The sequence below is a fragment of the Homo sapiens genome, chromosome 8 (genome assembly GCF_000001405.40).
Source record: "Homo sapiens chromosome 8, GRCh38.p14 Primary Assembly".
Classification (NCBI taxonomy): Eukaryota; Metazoa; Chordata; class Mammalia; order Primates; family Hominidae; genus Homo; species Homo sapiens.
The window spans coordinates 14218918-14238085 of NC_000008.11; the positions used below are offsets into that span (position 1 = coordinate 14218918).

The following is a 19168-nucleotide window of genomic DNA, read 5'->3' on the forward strand; positions in this document are numbered from 1 at the left end:
ATCAAAGCTGATTCTCTTACAGCTACACGGAGAAATTGCCAAAGAACTCAACGTTGACCGTTCTATGGTTGTTTGGCATTTGAACCAAACTGGAGAGGTGAAAAAGCTTGATAAGTGGGTGCCTCATGTGCTCAGCAAAAATTAAAAACAAAATTGTTCTTTTGAAGTGCCCTCTTACTCTATGCAGCAACAATGAGCCATTTCTCAATTGGATTGTGATGTGCGAAGAAAAGTGGATTTTTGATGACAACCAGTGATGACCAGCTCAGTGGATGGACCAAGAAGAAGCTCCAAAGCACTTCCCAAAGCCAAACTCTCACCACAAAAAGTCATGGTCACTGTTTGATGGTCTGCTGCCTGTCGGATCTACTACGGCTTTTTCAATCCCGCTTAAACCACTACATCTGAGAAGTATGCTCAACAAGTTGATGAGATGCAACAAAAACTGCAATGCCTGCAGCCGGTATTGGTCAACAGAAAGGGCCAAATTCTAATCCAGACAATGCCCGACTGCACGTTGGACAACCAGCACTTCAAAAGTTGAATGAGAACTGGGCACAGTGGCTCACGCCTGTAATTCCAGCACTTTGGGAAGCGGAAGCGGGCAGATCACAAGGTCAGGAGTTCGAGACCAGCCTGGCCAACATGATGAAACCCCGTCTCTACTAAAAATACAAAAATTAGCTGGGCGTGGTGGCGCGTGCCTATAGTCCCAACTTTTCGGGAAGCTGAGGCAGGAGAATCACTTGTACTTGGGAGCTGGAGGTTGCAGTGAGCCGAGATCGCACCACTGCACTCCAGCCTGGCGACAGAGTGAGACTTCGTCTCAAAAAAAAAAAAAAGTTTAATGAATTGTGCTATGAAGTTTTGCCTCATTCACCATATTCACCTGACCTCTTGCCAACCGACTACCACTTCTTCAAGCACCTCGAAAATTTCTTGTAGGGAAAACGTTTCTACAACCAGTAGGATGCAGAAAATGCTTTTCAAGAGTTCTTTGAATCCCTAAGCACAGATTTTAATCTCACAGGAATGAACAAACTTTATTTCTCATTGACAAAAATGTGTTGATTGTAATGGTTCTCATTTTGATTAATAAAGATGTGTTTGAGCCTAGTTATAGTGACTTAACATTGACGGTCCAAAAATGCAATTACTATTGCATCAACCTAATAGATCGGTGCTTCTATTTCTAGTTATATATCAAAAAGATGCATATAAACGTACACCAAAAGGGAGGCAGAAGAATGGCTTTTTGTGACACTACTACAGCCCCAACTGAACTGAACTGAAAACTTCAATAGGAGTAGAATGGATAAATTGTAGTGTATTTATGAATGGAACTACCATGCGCAATGGTAATGAACTATGCAAAATCATTGTGGAGTATCAGAGACATAATATTACGAGAAAAAAAGTCAGATGCAAAATAATGTATCATATGTGAATTTATTTATATACACTTCAAAAATCAAATAATGGTTTAGCTTTGAGAGTAGTAACTGAGAGAAAGCAGATGGTAGAGTCCTGAGCTTCTGGGGTGCTGTTCTAGATCTTGACCGTGATCTTAGGTGCACTGCTGCCTTCACTTTGTAAAAATCCCTCAGGGGACGCCTTTGAGATTTGTTTACTTTTCTGTGTATGTGTTATAAGATAATAAAACCCCAGCCTGACCAACATGTTGAAAGCCCGTCTCTACTAAAAAAAAATAATACAAAAATCAGTTGGGCGTAGTGGTGCCTGCCTGTAGTCCCAGCTACTCGGGAGGCTGAGGTAGGAGAATGGCGTGAACCCGGGAGGCGGAGCTTGCAGTGAGCTGAGATGACACCACTGCACTCCAGCCTGGGCGACAGAGGGATACTCTGCCAAAAACAAACAAACAAACAAACAAAATAATCGGACCTTAAAAAAAGATTGTAGCCACTTCTACCATTTAAAGGTGTGGGAAGCAAAAAAGGAAATAGCATTTCAAAATTTGTTATCTTAAGTTGTAGATGTTGGAAGTAACCATGTTGTCATTGTTAAGATAACACAATCCTGAGTCTTTGGACATGAACTTAGAGTTTCAGTATTTATTTGGTGTGCCTAATATAGAAAAAAAAAATAGAATTTCATGGGGAAGCCCAAGTAGAGGTAACTCATGAAATACAGAGGCTAGGAGCCTTGACGGAAAAAAATGCCAATAAACGGAAATATAAATCACTCCTACATATTCAAAATGTACATAAAATCTATAAGCAATGTCTTATGTGTGTATGTCATTGTGTAAGCATATGTGTATGTGTGTGTAAAACCAGGAGAGGGAGATTTGGTTCACTTCTAGAAAAATGGTAGCTCTGAACAAGGAAAGCATACGTTGAAAGACAATCTATGAATTACTAAAAGCTTCCTTTGCCCTTACGTATAAATTTTAAATGTAAATTTACACACATGGTTTATAATTATTGGTTGACACCTATAATTTTCAGGAGAGGCAATTGTTGTTTTTGCTGTGTTGTGTATCCATTCCTACCACAGTGCCTGAAATATGGTGGCACCCATAAATATCTCTTAAGTCAAAATAATACTGAACCAATGCACTGAAATAAAAATACTAGCAGCAGTAACTTACATATTGCAGTTTCGACATAACAGGCATCCTGCTTTATATACATGGATTGTTTGAATTACCATTACAATTGTGTATATGTTAATCCCACAGTTAGTTATCATAGTTTAGATTCAAATAAGAAGTGGGGTCGGGTGTGGTGGCTCATGCCTGGAATCCCAGCACTTTGGGAGACCGAGGAAGGCAGATCACCTGAGGTCAGGAGTTCAAGATCAGCCTGGCCAACATGGTGAAACCTCATCTGTACAAAAAATATAAAAAATTAGCTGGGTGTGATGGCGTGTGCCTGTAATCTCAGCTGGGTGTAATGGCGTGTGCCTGTAATCTCGGGAGACTGAGGCAGGAAAATCGCTTGAACCCGGGAGGTGGAGGTTGCAGTGAGCCGAGATCATGCCACTGCACTCCAGCCTGGGTGACACAGTGAGACTCTGTCTCAAAAGAAAAAAAAAAAGTGGAAGTGGGGTCTCAAACCCAGGAGAGATTGGAATAAATGTATGCCAACAACAGAAGTACCCCCAACAAACTGAAAGGGCTATTGCCACCACCTACTGTAAGACTTCTTTAGAATCTCCAATGAGATGGTACTTTAGCTTTAGTTGTTATTTACATTACTTCAGGTTTTTGTTGTTGTTGTTGCTGTTTTTTTGTTTTGTTTTGTTTTTTGAGGCACAGTCTTGCTCTGTTGCTCAGGCTGGAGTGCAGTGGCGCAATCTCCATTCACTGCAAACTCCGCCTCCCGGGTTCAAGCAATTATCTGCCTCAGCCTCCCGAGTAGCTGGGACTACAGGCACCCACCACCATACCCAACTAATTTTTGTATTTTTAGTAGAAACGGGGTTTCACTATCTTGGCCAGGCTGGTCTTGAGCTCCTGACCTTGTGATCCACCCACCTCCGCCTCCCAAAGTGCTAAGATTACACACGTGAGCCACCGTGCCCGGCCACTTCAGTTTTGTTTTAGGGGGTGTTGACCTCCAGAATAATCTTAACTTTCATGCATATAAATCAGTAAATCCTTCCTTCTGCAGCTTCTGACAGATTATGTATTCTGGAGGATATTCTCCCACGAAGATCAGAAAACTCTTCTAACAGATTTTTTTTCCCATTATTTATTGTTTTGAATCGAAAAATGAAACTTTACTCCATGGACAATTTACTGTTTTATTGTATAAAGATGAAGAGACTTAATGTTTGGTTCTAAACTATTAACCAATTTTACCTACCTAACTTATTTAATAACTAATTCCACCCTCTCTCAGTCACAGTGATTTTTTTTTTTTTTTTTTTTTTTTTTTTTTTTTTTTTTGAGGCAGAGTCTTGCTCTGTCGCCCAGGCTGGTGTGCAGTGGGTGATCTCCATTCACTGTAACCTCTACATGCCGGGTTCAAGAGACTCTCCTGTCTCAGCCTTTTCAGTAGCTAAGATTACAGGCACGTACCACCACACCCAGCTAATTTTTGTATTTTTAGTAGAGACAGGGTTTCACCATGTAGGCCAGGATGGTCTCGAACTTCTGATCTCATGATCCACCTACCTCGGCCTCCCAAAGTGCTGGGATTACATGATTGAGCCATTGCCCCCGGCCCGTCACAGAGGTTTTAAAGGACATCTTCATCTTACATCGAATTATCACAGATATATGGTTCCTTTGTACGTTTTACCCTTACTGTATTGTTACTGATTTTCAATACCTATACTAATTCCACACTGTACTAATGATTGTGCTTGTGATATTTGGTGCACACTATTAAATTTTTCTCATATTTTTTCATTTAATGAGAATACTTTGGAAACATTTCATCATCACTAGTATTTTCATTTGAATTGCTTTACATTTGTAAGTTAATTTTAGAGAGAACGGATAACTTTAATAAATAAAGACATATACTATAGAGTTCAGATTATTTTTCAATATATATTTTCAATGAATATTGATGTAAAGTAATTCAATTAATAGAATTCAATTTACTACTCATTTTTATATTCATCTAAAACAGTCACATCTAGACCAATATATATATATATTTTAACAGAATTAGTGAGCTGTTGGAACTAACAGGGAATAAATATAAAACTTCAATGTCCTGTCAGTTATTTGTTAAAGGGACAGATGCTATAGGTAATTTAATGCTGCTTAGCACCCAGCAGCATTCTCATGAATGCCATGACCCACGGAACCACCTGCCTATTCTGATAAATCAAGTGATAACCCTTAACAAACTAAAGATACTAGAACTAAATATTACTTTGGATAATCATTCACACCATCCAAAATAAAGTAGGGTAACTCTGAATAAAAACTACCTTCTGCTTTTTCTCCCACTAGGAAATGAATATTAGTATTACTAATAGTGATAGCAGTTAACACTTTTCCAGTAATGTGAAAAGAGTTTCACTTATCCCATCTCAATCATCAACATAACTCCAGTACATAGATATTATTAAAATGTTCATTTTATGTTTAAGAAACGGAGGCACAGAGAAGTCAACTGGACACCCTCAACTTGTACCTATTCATCAGTTTATTTCTAATTTACATAATAAAGCACATCTTTGACACTATTCTGGTACCCTTAGCTCAAACTTAAAGGAACTTTTCAAAACAAATAATGTACACAAGTTTGACTTTTATTTTAAAATGATACAATATGGACTGAACTTGAACCTAGGCCTTTCATATGCAAACTACATTTGCTGACAAAGGATACAATTAATCATTACACTAGTACATCCAGAAATTCATTTAATAGGGGATGGAAATACCAAGGGTAGAAAAGAACCAATAGTGACATTGCAATGAGGTTCAGTATTCTCCTTGTCAGCAGATAAGATTAGTACCAGGTACTATGGTGAGTGTGAGCTAGGGGCAGACATAGAGGGAATATCTCTAGCTCTGAAGGTGAAAGGGATGCAGCAGTGAGTTGGAAAATCCTTTAAACATTCTAGCTGCGCTGCCCTGGCTTTGTGATAAAAATCAGGGTCACCATTTAGTATATATTATGCAACTTTGTGCATCTGGAAATATTTCCCTATGTGAAAGCTCAATTATGCTAAAATATTTATTTATTACTTTATTACGTTGGCTACGCAGAAAGACAGAAAAACAGTAAGTTCATATCTGTGGAAGGTCTGACACAGAAAAGCTTTTATTGTGTCACCATAAAAATTATAAAATGGCCAGGGAGTAAGAGGCATAGCAAAGTAGAGAATGGAAGGAGGCCAGCAGGTCCATTTAAGATCATATTCATCATTAAATTACTTGTAACACCACCTAATATTCTTTCTTGGAAACACTTATCAAATTCTATTTCAAAACTACTTGCTCTTGTTACTTATACTGTGACCCTACCAACGTTTTCCTCAAGCCACTAAATATTCTCTACATAAAGAAATTACTTTGGTTTATTTTGCAAAGGCATATTTGGTGTTCATCATTTTCTACATGCAGCCAGTAACCCTGTGAACTTCTGTTTGACACTAAATCAGCTTTGCCACATATCTTCTTTTTACATTCTAAATGCATTCTCTTTTAAAGCTACTTATTCCTAAGAATCATAAATTTATTCAATGGAGTATATGTAGTTTGTACTAGTTTTACGTTACTTGCATTCATCTCTTTCCTCTTATCAATGTGATAATGTGATTTTAACCAATGAAGATGATAGATAATTTCTATTTTTATTGTGGTTTAAGAAGGTTACTCATAGCAGAGGTGACCTATTTAATGTTGTACCCCCAAAAGTTATGGGCTATTCTAAATGATCTGCTGTTTATGTGTGAGAATATAAAAAAGAAAAGCTGGGTTTTGAAGGTAAGCTGATTAGTTTTGTTAAACTTAAAAAAACTCTCAGCAAATATGAAATATTAGTGTTGAAAATACACTTAGGTACCACTATCTTTTAATACTAAAAATTGAGGCTGAGATAAATGACCACTTAGTGTTTTTAAAATACCCAGTAAAAGATTAATGTTGAATTAGAAATCAACATGATAGTCAGGTGTAATCATAGCCAAAAATAATAATACTAATTGGTTCATTGGGTTTTATGCTAGAAGAAAAAGACAGAAAAAGTCAGAGGGATAGATTTGGGTGTTATCCACATATATGTGATATGCTAAAGGAGCATGTATAATAAAAGCTCATTGTATGTATAATGAGCACATAACACACTTAGTCAGATAACAGATATAGGTGACATAAAAACAGACGAAGCCAACAGCAATGATGGCCACCTCAACTGGAAATTATTTGGAAATAATTTTATCAGCCTTAAGATTGAAAATGAAATGAGACTGGTCTAAACTTGCTTTAAATCAATAAGAAGGCTTGAGTTATTTCAATAATGAGAATCTTTGCGACCGACAAGCATTTATTATACATTTTATGATACCTCTGAAAGAAATAAAGTTACACACGTATCATAGACCTTATCAAAAGTTTCCACAATTTATTTGACAAAATCCATGAAATCATAAGGTATATTTTGAAAAGGACGATGGTATAAGTGATATTCTAATCACTTATTCCACACTTATTTGGGGGGCTACCATGTGTCAAGCAGGGTTATAAAAACCCAGGCATACAGGATAAATTCCCCACTGGACCTGAAGTGCAGTATTTCCTTACATAGTTGCATGAAGAAAATATTAGTATTCAGAATGTTAAGTTATATATAAAAAAAGACAGACATCATGTAAATTTGGGAAAAACTTAAAAAGTATTTCAAGTTACTATAGAGTCAATTTTCGGTGTATACTTCTGTGAATCCTAACACATGCAGATTGCTGTGTAATCATTACTACAGTCAAAATATAGGACAGGTTCATCACCCTCAGAAAACTCTCTTGTGCTATCGCTTTGTACCTAAACCCTCCCCCATACCATCCCTGTGAACTACGCATGAATCTGGTTTTACCATAGTTTTGTCCTTTTAAGAACGTCATATAAATGCCATCATACAGTATGTAAACTGCCAGACTGACTTATTTTACCTAACATAATGTCAATAGCTTTTTTAAAAAATTGTTGAATACCATTCCACTGTGTTAACATAGCACAGTGCATTCATCCATTCTCTTGCTGAAGGATATTTGAGTTGACTCCCGTTGTTGGCAATTGTGGATAGAGCTGCTGTGAATATCTATAGAAACTTTATGGTGTAAACATGTTTTTATTTAACTTGGGCAATCACCTAGGAGTGAGATTATTGGACCATATGGTAGTTGCCTGTTTAACTTGATAGGAACAGGGAAACTGTGTTTTTAGAAAGGTGTAATGTTTTGCATTCCTAGCAGCAGGAGTATAAAAGTTCCAGTAGCTTTGTATCCAATCTAACACAGTATTGTCTGCATCTTTTATTTTAGTCACTATACTTATGACTTATGATTTCTCAAAGCCTGAAATGTGAAAACAGGTATGGTCAATTTCTTAATGTGTAATATTGAAGGCTTTCTTCCCCAGATACATTTACCTATAATACTCTAGTGTGCTTTAGGTAGCTGATAGATTTACTGATTCAATTAGTAGCTCACAGGTTAGGTGAGCAATCAGCCCGCAAGTGAGAAGAATAAGGAGGTGGAATCATAAGGACCTCTGGAAGAGATATGAGGAAAGAAAGCACATTTTCTTAGTCTGCAATGCCTGCTTCCCTGGAGTGGCAGGCTGGTCTCTGAATTACGTTCAATAATCTTTGTAGAAAAATGAAGTATGGCAAAAAAAATGTAAGAATGCAAACAGTTTTCTTTATTCTAATTATGACATGAGAAAAGGTGATCTCCAAAATTTATGAATTATTAACATGTTCTAATTCCTTTGGGAAGGGTAAAGGAAGGAAAGACATTAAACAATAGACTGATGGGTTTGTGAGCATGTTGAAAACAAAACAGCTAATATGTGACCTCAGAATCAAAATAAGCCATGACAAAATGAGATTTTTCATTTTTTCCATAGGATTATTGGATCAAAACATAGAGGGATCATATAGTATTAAAAATTCTTAACTACAGGCAAATATATTATAAAATATCTAGAAATAATATTGGAAACACAGGTTGCAAATGAATTCAGAACTGATTAAATATTTTAACCAAAGAATGCTGATTAAGGGATTCATAACAATCTTAAGAAATCTGAAGAGATTTGGGTAATACTGTTTCCTCATTATGAAATATATGTTGTCAGGAGTCTAATAAATACTTGGAAACAGAAGAATAGCTGGGGTTCATTTTCTCCTCTTCCTTTGCTCAATTTTCTATTCCCACTACGGTTTATTTTTCTGGTATATGCATTATCTGACTTGGAATTTTCCCAAAACTAAATACAAGAATAGACACAAAATCTAAAGTGAAAGTCAGGACAAAAACGTAACTGTAGTTAACAGACCTAGATCATAAGTAATGGTTTCCCCCTAGCTTCTCTCTCTCTCTACCCCATGACCAGGCAATTAGTATTGTTGTGCAGTCATCTGGGCTTGGGTGCCACCTCATTTAGGAACCCTAATACTGAAGTGAATGATCTTCTGTGTACATATGGACTCCTAAATTTTATTTAGCTTCCTGCCTCCAGATGTTTTCAGATAATTATTCCCATAACCTTACATTAGTGAACATTATGCCCCATTAACCAAATTTCCAAAGACATGTTTCTTATCAAGGCAAACACAAAACTGCATGTTCCATAAGACAATTATATATGGAACTCCAATGCACCTGCAATTCCGACGTCCCACAAAGGAAGCCTCATTAAAAACAATACTTGGTTAAGTATATAAGCTATAGACTCATTAATTTCAGATAAGGTATGTAGTCATAAGGTCTAATAAAATATCTAAAAGAGAAAATTTAAAGCCACTCCTTTCTTACTTTGTTTAACTTATTTTACTTTTATCCTTTAACTGGCTCTGTAATATATCATTTCTATTTTATCACAATTACTTTAATATTAAAATTCAAACACTAGAGATATACTCATATTTTGAATAAACTTATATAATTATCAAATTAATAAAATGTTTATTCATCTGCTTAGTGATTTCTGCAGTATTGTGCACTTAAGAAATAATTAGTCTGTGCATTATATTTATTGAAATAAACTTGTATTATATTTTTTATTAATATATAAGGAGATGGGGGCGGCCTAAGTAGTGCTAAAATAAAGCAGTGGGACACCTTTACAATATGTCTTAAAAGAGGCACAGTTTGTCACTTTATCCTATCACCCTCATTTATATACCCTCAAGACTAGAATTACTTTAACAACTAAAGTTACTGTTACCAAAGGCCATATATTCAAATATGTATATTTTGTCTGGAAAAGGAAAAATTTCAAAGATATAGTATTCATTGACATATAGGCATGAATGATTTTACCAGATTAGCTACCCTTGGTCTTGAGAAGTAGAGGCCAATGCCATGCAAGAATGGTCTTTAGGACCACAGCACAGAGCACTGTTAAGCGGAGCTGGCTTTGTAGAACTGCAGTGATTGATGTTAAACAAGGGCATAGGGTACTTGGAAAGAGAAGGAGCAAGCCAGCAAAGGTTGAAGATGACCAGCCAAACCGTCTCTTTCAGGTTTTAGTCTAGGTCCTCCAGGAAGGAAAATCTCTAGAATTCCCTGATTCTGCACTTCTATCTGTACAAATAATTGTCAATTTAATTAAATATTTCAGCCAGTCCATATTTCTGTTTGTAGGACACAAACAATGAGCATCTCTGAGGCATTGGTATAATGATTCAGGATGTTTAAAAAATAATATAAATACTCCTTTGATACAACTTTTCAAAACATGATCACTAGTGTCTTTCCTTCAGACATAATTCTCATTACACCTGAGTTACAAAGACTGAGAGCTCTAATTTCTAAAGCGTGACATCCTTGTCCTGATATCACAGGCATCTACTTCAACTTACAATTTCCTCAAATGGATTAATTAATTATAAATTTATTAACATGAATTAACTAATAATGAACTCAAAATCAACAATGCATTTAATCATTTGAAATGTATATGTAGTATTAAACCTAAGTATTTTGTTAATCTATCCTTCAAGATTTGCACAACTCACTTTACATCAAACATTCATTCTTATTAAATTATCCCAGACTATTACAACATTCTCTAAGTTAAAAAAAAAAAAAGAGTCAATTAAAAAAAACATAAATTTGGAACCTGAGAATAATCCATAACCTTCTACTTTTTATACATCCTATACCATCTGCAGTCAATTAAATGATTCCCAGGTGTTCACTGTAATTGCTTTAACGCAAGATTGCATGTCATTTTCAGGGTCTTTAAATATTTATTATAAAACCCTCATCTACATTTTTTCTCCATTCATTTAGGAACAAAAACATGTTTATGCTTAGCACTAACAAAAATAAGCCGATTGGACTTAAACTGTTTTGTGGATTAAATTTCATTGAAAAATAAAACTTTTTATATGCCATAACTTGATGAAAGAGTAAAAGCATAGCTAGGATGTTGATTTAGTTGTGCTCATTTACCTTCTTCATTTTAAATTTTTGCACAAAATACGTGCCTATGCTCTATGGCTAAGATGTCAAAACATCAAATCAGATGGCATTTTGTCAGGATAATTGAATATTGAGGAACGTAAGGACCAGTAGATTCATCAACTGACTCCCTTCTCCAAAGGTAAAAAGTAGTTTTTCATTATTTAGACTTGGAACAGAAAAGAGTCGTGGAGACAATCTAGCAAAACAGACTCATTTCATACACAAGGCAACTAAATCCCAGAGACTTGGTCATGTGTATAGAGTAGTACACATGCAGTGTGAACAAAAAAATCACAATCACTAACTTATACATAATGCATACTATGCTCCAGGAAGCGTTCCAATACCTTACTATATGTTAACATATTTAATTTTCACATCTACTATATGAGGCAAATACTCATATTCCCCACAGAAACCTGGAACGGATGCCTGGAGTAATGTACATAAGGTCACATAGCGGGCAGTTGACAGATCTGGGATTTAGCAGTCTCCAAAATCCATGCCATTAATTGGTGAAGTATACGTCCTTCCTAAAAATAGTTTCTGAAGATATCATGATTTCCACATGAAAATACTCTCCATGACATTTTTACATACTGTATACATCATATGATTGTCCCCACAATATTATTAGTGAAAATCTATATATTCCTACATGTTTTAATAATTTTAATTGAACATATATTCTTGTCTTCTTTCCTTCTTTTTTTTTTGGTGGTGGTGGGGGGGTGGTTACTCAAACATCTCTTAATAATCAAAGTGCCTTTCTAGTAAACATGTTTTGTGTTTGATATGGTGCAATTTTGGAATAACTTAAATTTGTGAAACACGAAAGAGTATCTACTGGTTAAAAAGTAAAGGAATATAGTTTCCCTTAAACATACGTGGTTGTACAAATTGCATACATTACTGAGATTTTATTTCAACGTGGTAAATGAATAGAAATTACTTTAAAAAATATATCCAGACTCAAATTATGTTGGAGTATATTGCATGAATTAAAATGCTGAGGTTTTAATCAGCCTATGTGTATGGACTGGGAAATCTTTTTTCTAAAAGGTGTCCTGACTCTGACTTTGCTTCCTAGTACTTTCCTTGCTTTGATTCTTTGGGCAAGTGTGTGTGTGTGTGTGTGTGTGTGTGTGTGTGTGTAGTGGGGAGAGAGAGGGGGAAAGAGAGAGAGAGACAGAGAGAGAGAGAGAGAGACACAGAGAGAGAGAGAGACAGAGACAGAGAGAGAGAGTGTGTCTGTCTTGAATGTTGGAGGTGGGCAGAGGGGCACTGGCCCAGTTAAGAGTCTTAGGGAAGGTCTTCAGCCTTTTTTAAGGAATTTCATCAATATCAATTTCATCATGAGGTCATGTTATTTCAGAAACAAACAGGTCCAGCCACAGTCACTAATGTTTTGAGATCTCACCTCAATTGACCAATGGCAAACACAGGTCCAATTATGCATAATTTAAAGTGTATTTAAAAGACACACACACACCATGTCTTGCAGTTAAGTCTAGATTTTTTTTTTCTGAATTGAGTTGGACCAATAAACATGCTCTGTTCATTTGTCTCCCATCCACAATTATTTTACATAACTACCCTTTTTGTTATGAATCCAGCATTCTTTAAAGCATGTTGTCAGAGGATTACTAGGCTCAATGATTCTTTTAATGTAGAGTTGTTAAAAATAGGGCATATCATCCAGATTTCTCCCTATTAAACAAAATGTACATTTTATTCAGCACATGTGAGAAAAACGTGTTTGTTTCTCATAAGATCATATGCGTTCTTTTAAAGCACAGTGGGATCATTTGGTTACATTTCCTTTTACCCCTTTATTACCAGGAACATCACTGTAGTTTAATTACTCTGTAAGATAGAGATGCCTTCTTATGAGTAAACATTTACTAATAGAAACTTTAGATATATGTGTATCTTTTTATAAACTTACATAGTTTTAAAAAGGAAGTTATTTCACAACATGGATGCTATTATTAATAGACATTGACTCAAAAAATACAGGAAAACAAATTTTCAAAATTATTTACTTTCAGAATCCTAATGACCAATTTTCTAATCAAACAAATCTTCTTTCATCATATATATATACATATATATTTAATTTCAATTTTTAAGTGTGTAGCTGATTGACACACTCTGAGAAGTGCAAATGAACAATCTTGAAACCTTTATTGTGGCCCATCTGATTATCATTATCTCTACTTCCTGACTTCATAAACCTTCTTGGACAAAGAAGGCAAGCACCTCAGATCTCTGAAGAAACCAGTCAACTCTGCTACAAAAGCTGTTTACAACAGTTTCTATTGTTAAGTGATGTTAATTGCTCAAAGTGTAAAATATGAAAAAGGAAACTCATAATAAATACAAATATCACTTTGTTTAATTGCTTGCAAATGACATTCTTCCTTATTAACATATAGTCAGGCTTATTTAAGCCCTAAGTTTCAAGAATTACTGAGGAAAAACAGAAAATGAGAAATTAAAGATTATAATTAAGATTTTTATACAATTTGGTTATGCCACTGATTTTGTTTTTTATTTTTTATTTTATTATTATTATATTTTAAGTTTTAGGGTACAAGTGCACAATGTGCAGGTTAGTTACATATGTATACATGTGCCATGCTGGTGTGCTGCACCCATTAACTCGTCATTTAGCAGAATATCAAAGACAAGTAAATGATTCTGACAATAACAGCAAGGCTTCCCTAGGTGTTAGTTCATTCAGAATTCATTCTTCCAAATTTATTGAGCATTAAACAAGGATACCTATGATGAAATACAAGATCCTATTTAAAGCATAAGACTGTGGTTTTAAGCACACTCTAAAACTAAAATTTCAGAAGAATGACATTCAGTTTTTTAATACCCAATTCACCTTAATGTTTTACTGGGATAATAATATAGATGTGGGATTGTGGAACTTCTTCTTGTTTATGACATAGGGCCCCATAAGTAGCCATAATAAGTATCTCAAAAGTCATTGGGACTAGAATTTAAATGAGGAATGCTAACAAAACGAACAAATAAACAAACAAAACACAAAACACAAAGCTAGCTCTACCAGTTAAGATTATTCTTTTTCCAGTTTCTGAATTTATCCTCCTTTCATTTTTATCCTTCAGCTATAGACTGACAGCATAAGGCACATGAGAAAGGAAAATAAAATATTAGTTTTTAGCTATTACTTCATCAAAAATAAAAGATATTTTGTAATATAAGAAAAAGCAATATATAGCTTAATAACAGCCATGCTGGCTAAGTTTTTTAAAGGAGAAATTATTTTACTGAAATCAACCTATACTTTGTAAACTACTTATAAATGTAGTTTAAAAATAGTATGTTAAATATCAATGTAATGTTATTGATAAATAAAATATAATTATCCTCATGATATTGTGGGAAACAGTATTACATTTTCAGTGATCCAAATTACTACAGAATTATTATTAGTAGCGTTGTAAACAAAGTCTGTATAAAAACTGCATAATACTTTATTTATACTACCATAAAGATTTTTATTCTATATAAAATATAGATATATATATATATTCTATATATATCTTTCCTGAGATAATAAAACAAATTTCACAAAGATGGTGCATAATTTACATCCTTTGCCCACTTTTTTGATAGAAAGTCATGGAAAATATCATCATGTTATCAACATATATGAATATATAACACACCTAAAGTCAAACACTTTTTTCACCTATAAAAGAAAAATAATATTCTGCTAAAAAACATAATAATTATAGATTAAATAGAAAATTTTGACCTGGAGAATGGTTCTGAGACTCGTTTAAGAAAGTTCTTGCTTTTTCTTCAAGGAGTCTGACCTCTTGGGATGTTGTACTTTCTTTAACCACTTCTCAACAACAATCTCATTCCTCTCTTTCAGCTTTATTCTAAGAAGAGAAATTTGGAGGAAGAAATCTTGAGTTCATCAATCTCCTCCAATGTTATGAAGGTCAAGAAAATTAGAATCCTAGACTTAGTGGGGGAAATTGGATATTATTTGGTCAAATTCATAAAGCCTGGAACTTCATCAATTCACAGAAAATATCTGTCAAATTGATTTTTCTACCTAAAGTTTTAAAATATTTAGATTTAGTTTTTGTTAGGCTTGAGCCAGAAACATATAAAATATTTCTCTTTTGCATTTATTGTATTAGAAATAATTTGATTTAAAATTCTATCAGTGAGTCAGGATTAGAATTAGTACATAGGATGGCCTAATCACTGGACTACATATATCCCTGTGAGTGGAATTAGTAGGAAGCTAGGCTTACAGAGAAAGAAAAAGGTGGGGTACAAGAGGAATGGATATTCGCTTTGCTGAAACTACTTACATATATTTTTGAGGAAAAATGGTACAATGAGAATAAAATATGGAAAATACTCAAATTGTTATGTTTTTAGAATTGACTATACCTTTCTAACAGAAATCGATGCATTCTATTGGTAGACAATAGAATTGTTTTACTTAGAAAATGAAGAGTAACTGAAATTCTTTTCCCTAACTATTCAGTTTGTGTGCTAATTTTTTTAATATTGCAAAAATAGTATCATGACTGTACTATAACCAAGGCCATACACATAAAAACTGAAAGAATAAGAAAAGAAATAGACAAGGAGGGTTAGAACAGCTACTTTATGTATACACAATTAAAATTAGAGTCTTTAGAATTAAATTTTACTTTTCTACATTGCTTGATTCATTCAAGTATGTCTTCAAACTCTACATAAAGGTAAATTTATTCTTACATAATTGAAGAGTTTCTGAACATGGGATACACTTTCTGTGTTGTGTTTTGTAACGTATCTCTCAACAGTACCATAATTCAACCTTATCTAATATCACACAGATACACTGAATAGAAAAGCATCATGAGATTTCTCCCATAATATCACTGTATTTGTAACTTAAGTGATACCAATAATTACACTCACCATCATCACAATAATAGATTCAATATACAATTCCCTACCGTTTGTAGACACTGACAACACCATACTTCTTATAACAGCATTCAAAATGTGTCATTATCCCCATTTTAGAGATGAGAAAACGGAGTGTCCAAAAGATTAACTATTTCATTGGCACCCAACCAACTACTAAATAGCTCCCTGTGGCTTTGTTTCAAATATGAATACATTATCTCCTTTCACACAGCCCTAGTCTTCTTTTGTTCTATGTTCACTAAAATATGCAAACCAGCAAAAATACATAAGTCATCAAAAATACACTCAAAGGACCAGGATATTAAATAGTTTTTAAGTGTAAGCCTCAGTAGAATAAATGCATTTCTCCGCACAACAAGCTGCTGTGTCATTAACTTAATAATTTGCTGCATTTAAAACTCAGCTTAACATTTTTTTCTTTCTCCGTCCTCCTCTTGCTATTTTCTCTCATTTGGCAAATGCCAATATAACATTAAAATCAGTTTGGAACGGTAACTGAAAATACTAGCACACTAAATTCTTTATTTCCTGCAGGAAAGCATGCAGTGAAATGCAAACAGTATTTGCACTTCACGTAATCAAATGATTGCTTTGCTCTATAGGCGGGCATTAAGTAGCTATTGTGTCTGACAGTGGGCATGGGTATATATTCTTGGTGCACTTAATTTACGTTTTTTTGAGACAGAGTCTCACTCTATTCCCCAGGCTGGAGTGCAGTGGCCCAATCTCGGCTCACTGCAACCTGCGCCTCCTGGGTTCGAGTGATTCTCCAGCCTCAGCCTCCTGAGTAGCTGGGATTACAGGCACACACCACCATGCCCAAATAATTTTTGTATTTTTAGTAGAGATGGGGTTTCACCATGTTGGACAGGATGATCTCGATTTCTTGACCTCATGATCCGCCCGCCTTGGCCTCCCAAAGCGCTGGGATTACAGGCATGAGCTCCCGTGCCTGACCCTTAATTTACATTTTGACATTTCTACTAAGAACTTCTTTTTATATCAAGGACTGAATGCAAAAGGCAGTTCTATCTGGCTGAAGAGTTCTCAACTTTAAGAAAATTAGGACATGGAAAATCTACTAAGGTTAGGCCCGTTTCCATAGGCCTATAGTTTCTGCAGTTCCAACATAACAGGAATGAAACAGCATGAATATTTAAGTGGATGGTTCTTGCTTCTGAATCAGTTCTATATCCATACACATATCTCTTTTATTTAATCTTGAATCCATTTGCTAATAGCACCCCTCTATAACTGCTATATCTCTAATTATCACAAAATATTATCCAGTTGTAGCAATTAATAGATATGTAATGACAAACTTTTATGATGTAAAGCAAAGCAATTTTTACAAATAAAACTATATTTTTAGAAAATTCATATATGCTAAAATGTCTCCTTTTTGGGTTCATCAAAACAAATATTTAAAAAAAACCTACAAATTAAGTACACAGAATCAAAATTCATGTTTCTAAAGCTCATATTTCAAATGTATTATTTTTGCATAATTTAATTAGAAATATTGGAAATATACATTTGCATTTAAAGATGATTAATTTCTCATTAAAATAAGAATACCTCAGTCCTCAAAATTGTAATTTACTTTTCTCTTTCCCTCTTTCTCATTCTCTCTCTCTCTATATATATGTGTATGTATGTATAACTAGATAGAGATAAACAGATATGTAATGTTTATGGTAAGTAATTTCTCTGCAGAACCAATACAGTGTTACAAAAATAATTCAGAATCTACATGCATATCAAAACTTTAAATTACAAATTACTTCTTATTTGCCTTCTTATAAAAATTGAGTCAAGGAATCAATCTTGTATTTTGATATAAATCTCCAAATTAAAATATTTATTTGCTATGAGAAAAAAATTAATACTTCACCATTAATTTATATTAACAACACATAAAGCCTATAAATCTTAAAATATAATTTCAACATCAAATATAGAAGTAATTGATAAATGTTAATATTTATTATACTCATGCAATTTCTAATTTATATAAGCAGATACAATTTATTAGAAAATATTTCCCCTAGAAAAGGGATACACAGACCTAATGATGTTATCTCATGTTTCCTTAAGTTTATTTATTATAATTTAACATATGCTATGAAAATATTTCTTAGAAAAATGGTGCATTTCATAATTCAAGAGTAATGACCAGCAAAATAAATGTAATTCAATCTCAAAATAATACATTGGCAAGAGTAATAACTACTAAATACAGGAAACATGACTAGCCTATGACAAGTCAAATCATGTGCAAGAAAATTGGGCTGTAATGGAATGTTGAGTTATGTATCAGGGAAATAACATACTTCCACTTTTCTCAATTAAAACAAGCACAGTAGGCCAGATGACCCCGATTGCTTGACCTCGTGATCTGCCCGCCTCAGCCTCCCAAAGTGCACTCCAGCCTGGTGACAGAGTGAGACTCTGTCTCAAAACAACAACAACAACAACAACAACGACAACAACAAGAACCAAAAACCAAAAACAACAACAAAAAAAACCAAGCACAGTAGGAGCAATCTTTACCCCAAAACACTCACCTATGGTCAGCTGTCCGGTTAACTGCCCCATGTGATTTCTTGCATTCACTGTGACATTCCTGTCAGACTGTAAGACCAGCGGACTATCCTGGGAAACATGTATAAAATAAATAAATAGAAAATAGAAATATCGTCAAATTTACAAAAAAATATACTGCATTTGTTTGGATATTCTGAAAAATTTAATTTGTTTGCTCTATATTAGACAGTTAATTTAACGTCCCAATCATTGGTGGACAATGTACAAAACTGAGAGCCTCATAATAATTACTTGACAGAATATTTCATTTTCATAAGTGGGTACTAACTATCAGATGCAAGCATTTCCAACCCTACTGATTGCTGCACATCAACGGTGTAGTAACCCTTTTCCTTTTTCTCTCCCAGTGTCCTCTATGCCTGCCTGTGCAGATATTCCAGACGCTATCCCAATGGCAAAAGTCCCTTTTTAAGTTTAAGTTGCATCTTTCAGATCTCAGCTTAAATGCCACCTT

The 19168-nt window shown here is 34.4% G+C and overlaps 1 protein-coding gene across 4 annotated transcripts in view, besides 3 other annotated features; it reads right to left on the reverse strand.

Annotated features, from left to right (window-relative positions):
• Positions 1–19168, reverse strand: part of SGCZ (sarcoglycan zeta) — a 1153587-nt gene that overhangs the window by 134073 nt on the left and 1000346 nt on the right. For all 4 annotated transcript variants that reach the window (NM_001322881.2, NM_001322879.2, NM_001322880.2 and 1 more), the window contains one exon: positions 18675–18762. In NM_001322881.2, coding sequence (NP_001309810.1) covers positions 18675–18762 — 88 coding nt within the window. The remainder of the gene's footprint in view (positions 1–18674; positions 18763–19168) is intronic.
• Positions 4678–4847: an enhancer, noted in NCBI's record as "experimental_102032 CRE fragment used in MPRA reporter constructs". NCBI's record gives its function as "activates a minimal promoter by MPRAs in K562 erythroleukemia cells, with activity observed for the introgressed 8:14081189 variant allele {active_cell/tissue: K562}" and the evidence as "EXISTENCE:reporter gene assay evidence [ECO:0000049][PMID:34662402]".
• Positions 4678–5003: a biological region, named in NCBI's record as "Neanderthal introgressed variant-containing enhancers experimental_102032 and experimental_102034".
• Positions 4834–5003: an enhancer, noted in NCBI's record as "experimental_102034 CRE fragment used in MPRA reporter constructs". NCBI's record gives its function as "activates a minimal promoter by MPRAs in K562 erythroleukemia cells, with activity observed for the non-introgressed 8:14081345 variant allele {active_cell/tissue: K562}" and the evidence as "EXISTENCE:reporter gene assay evidence [ECO:0000049][PMID:34662402]".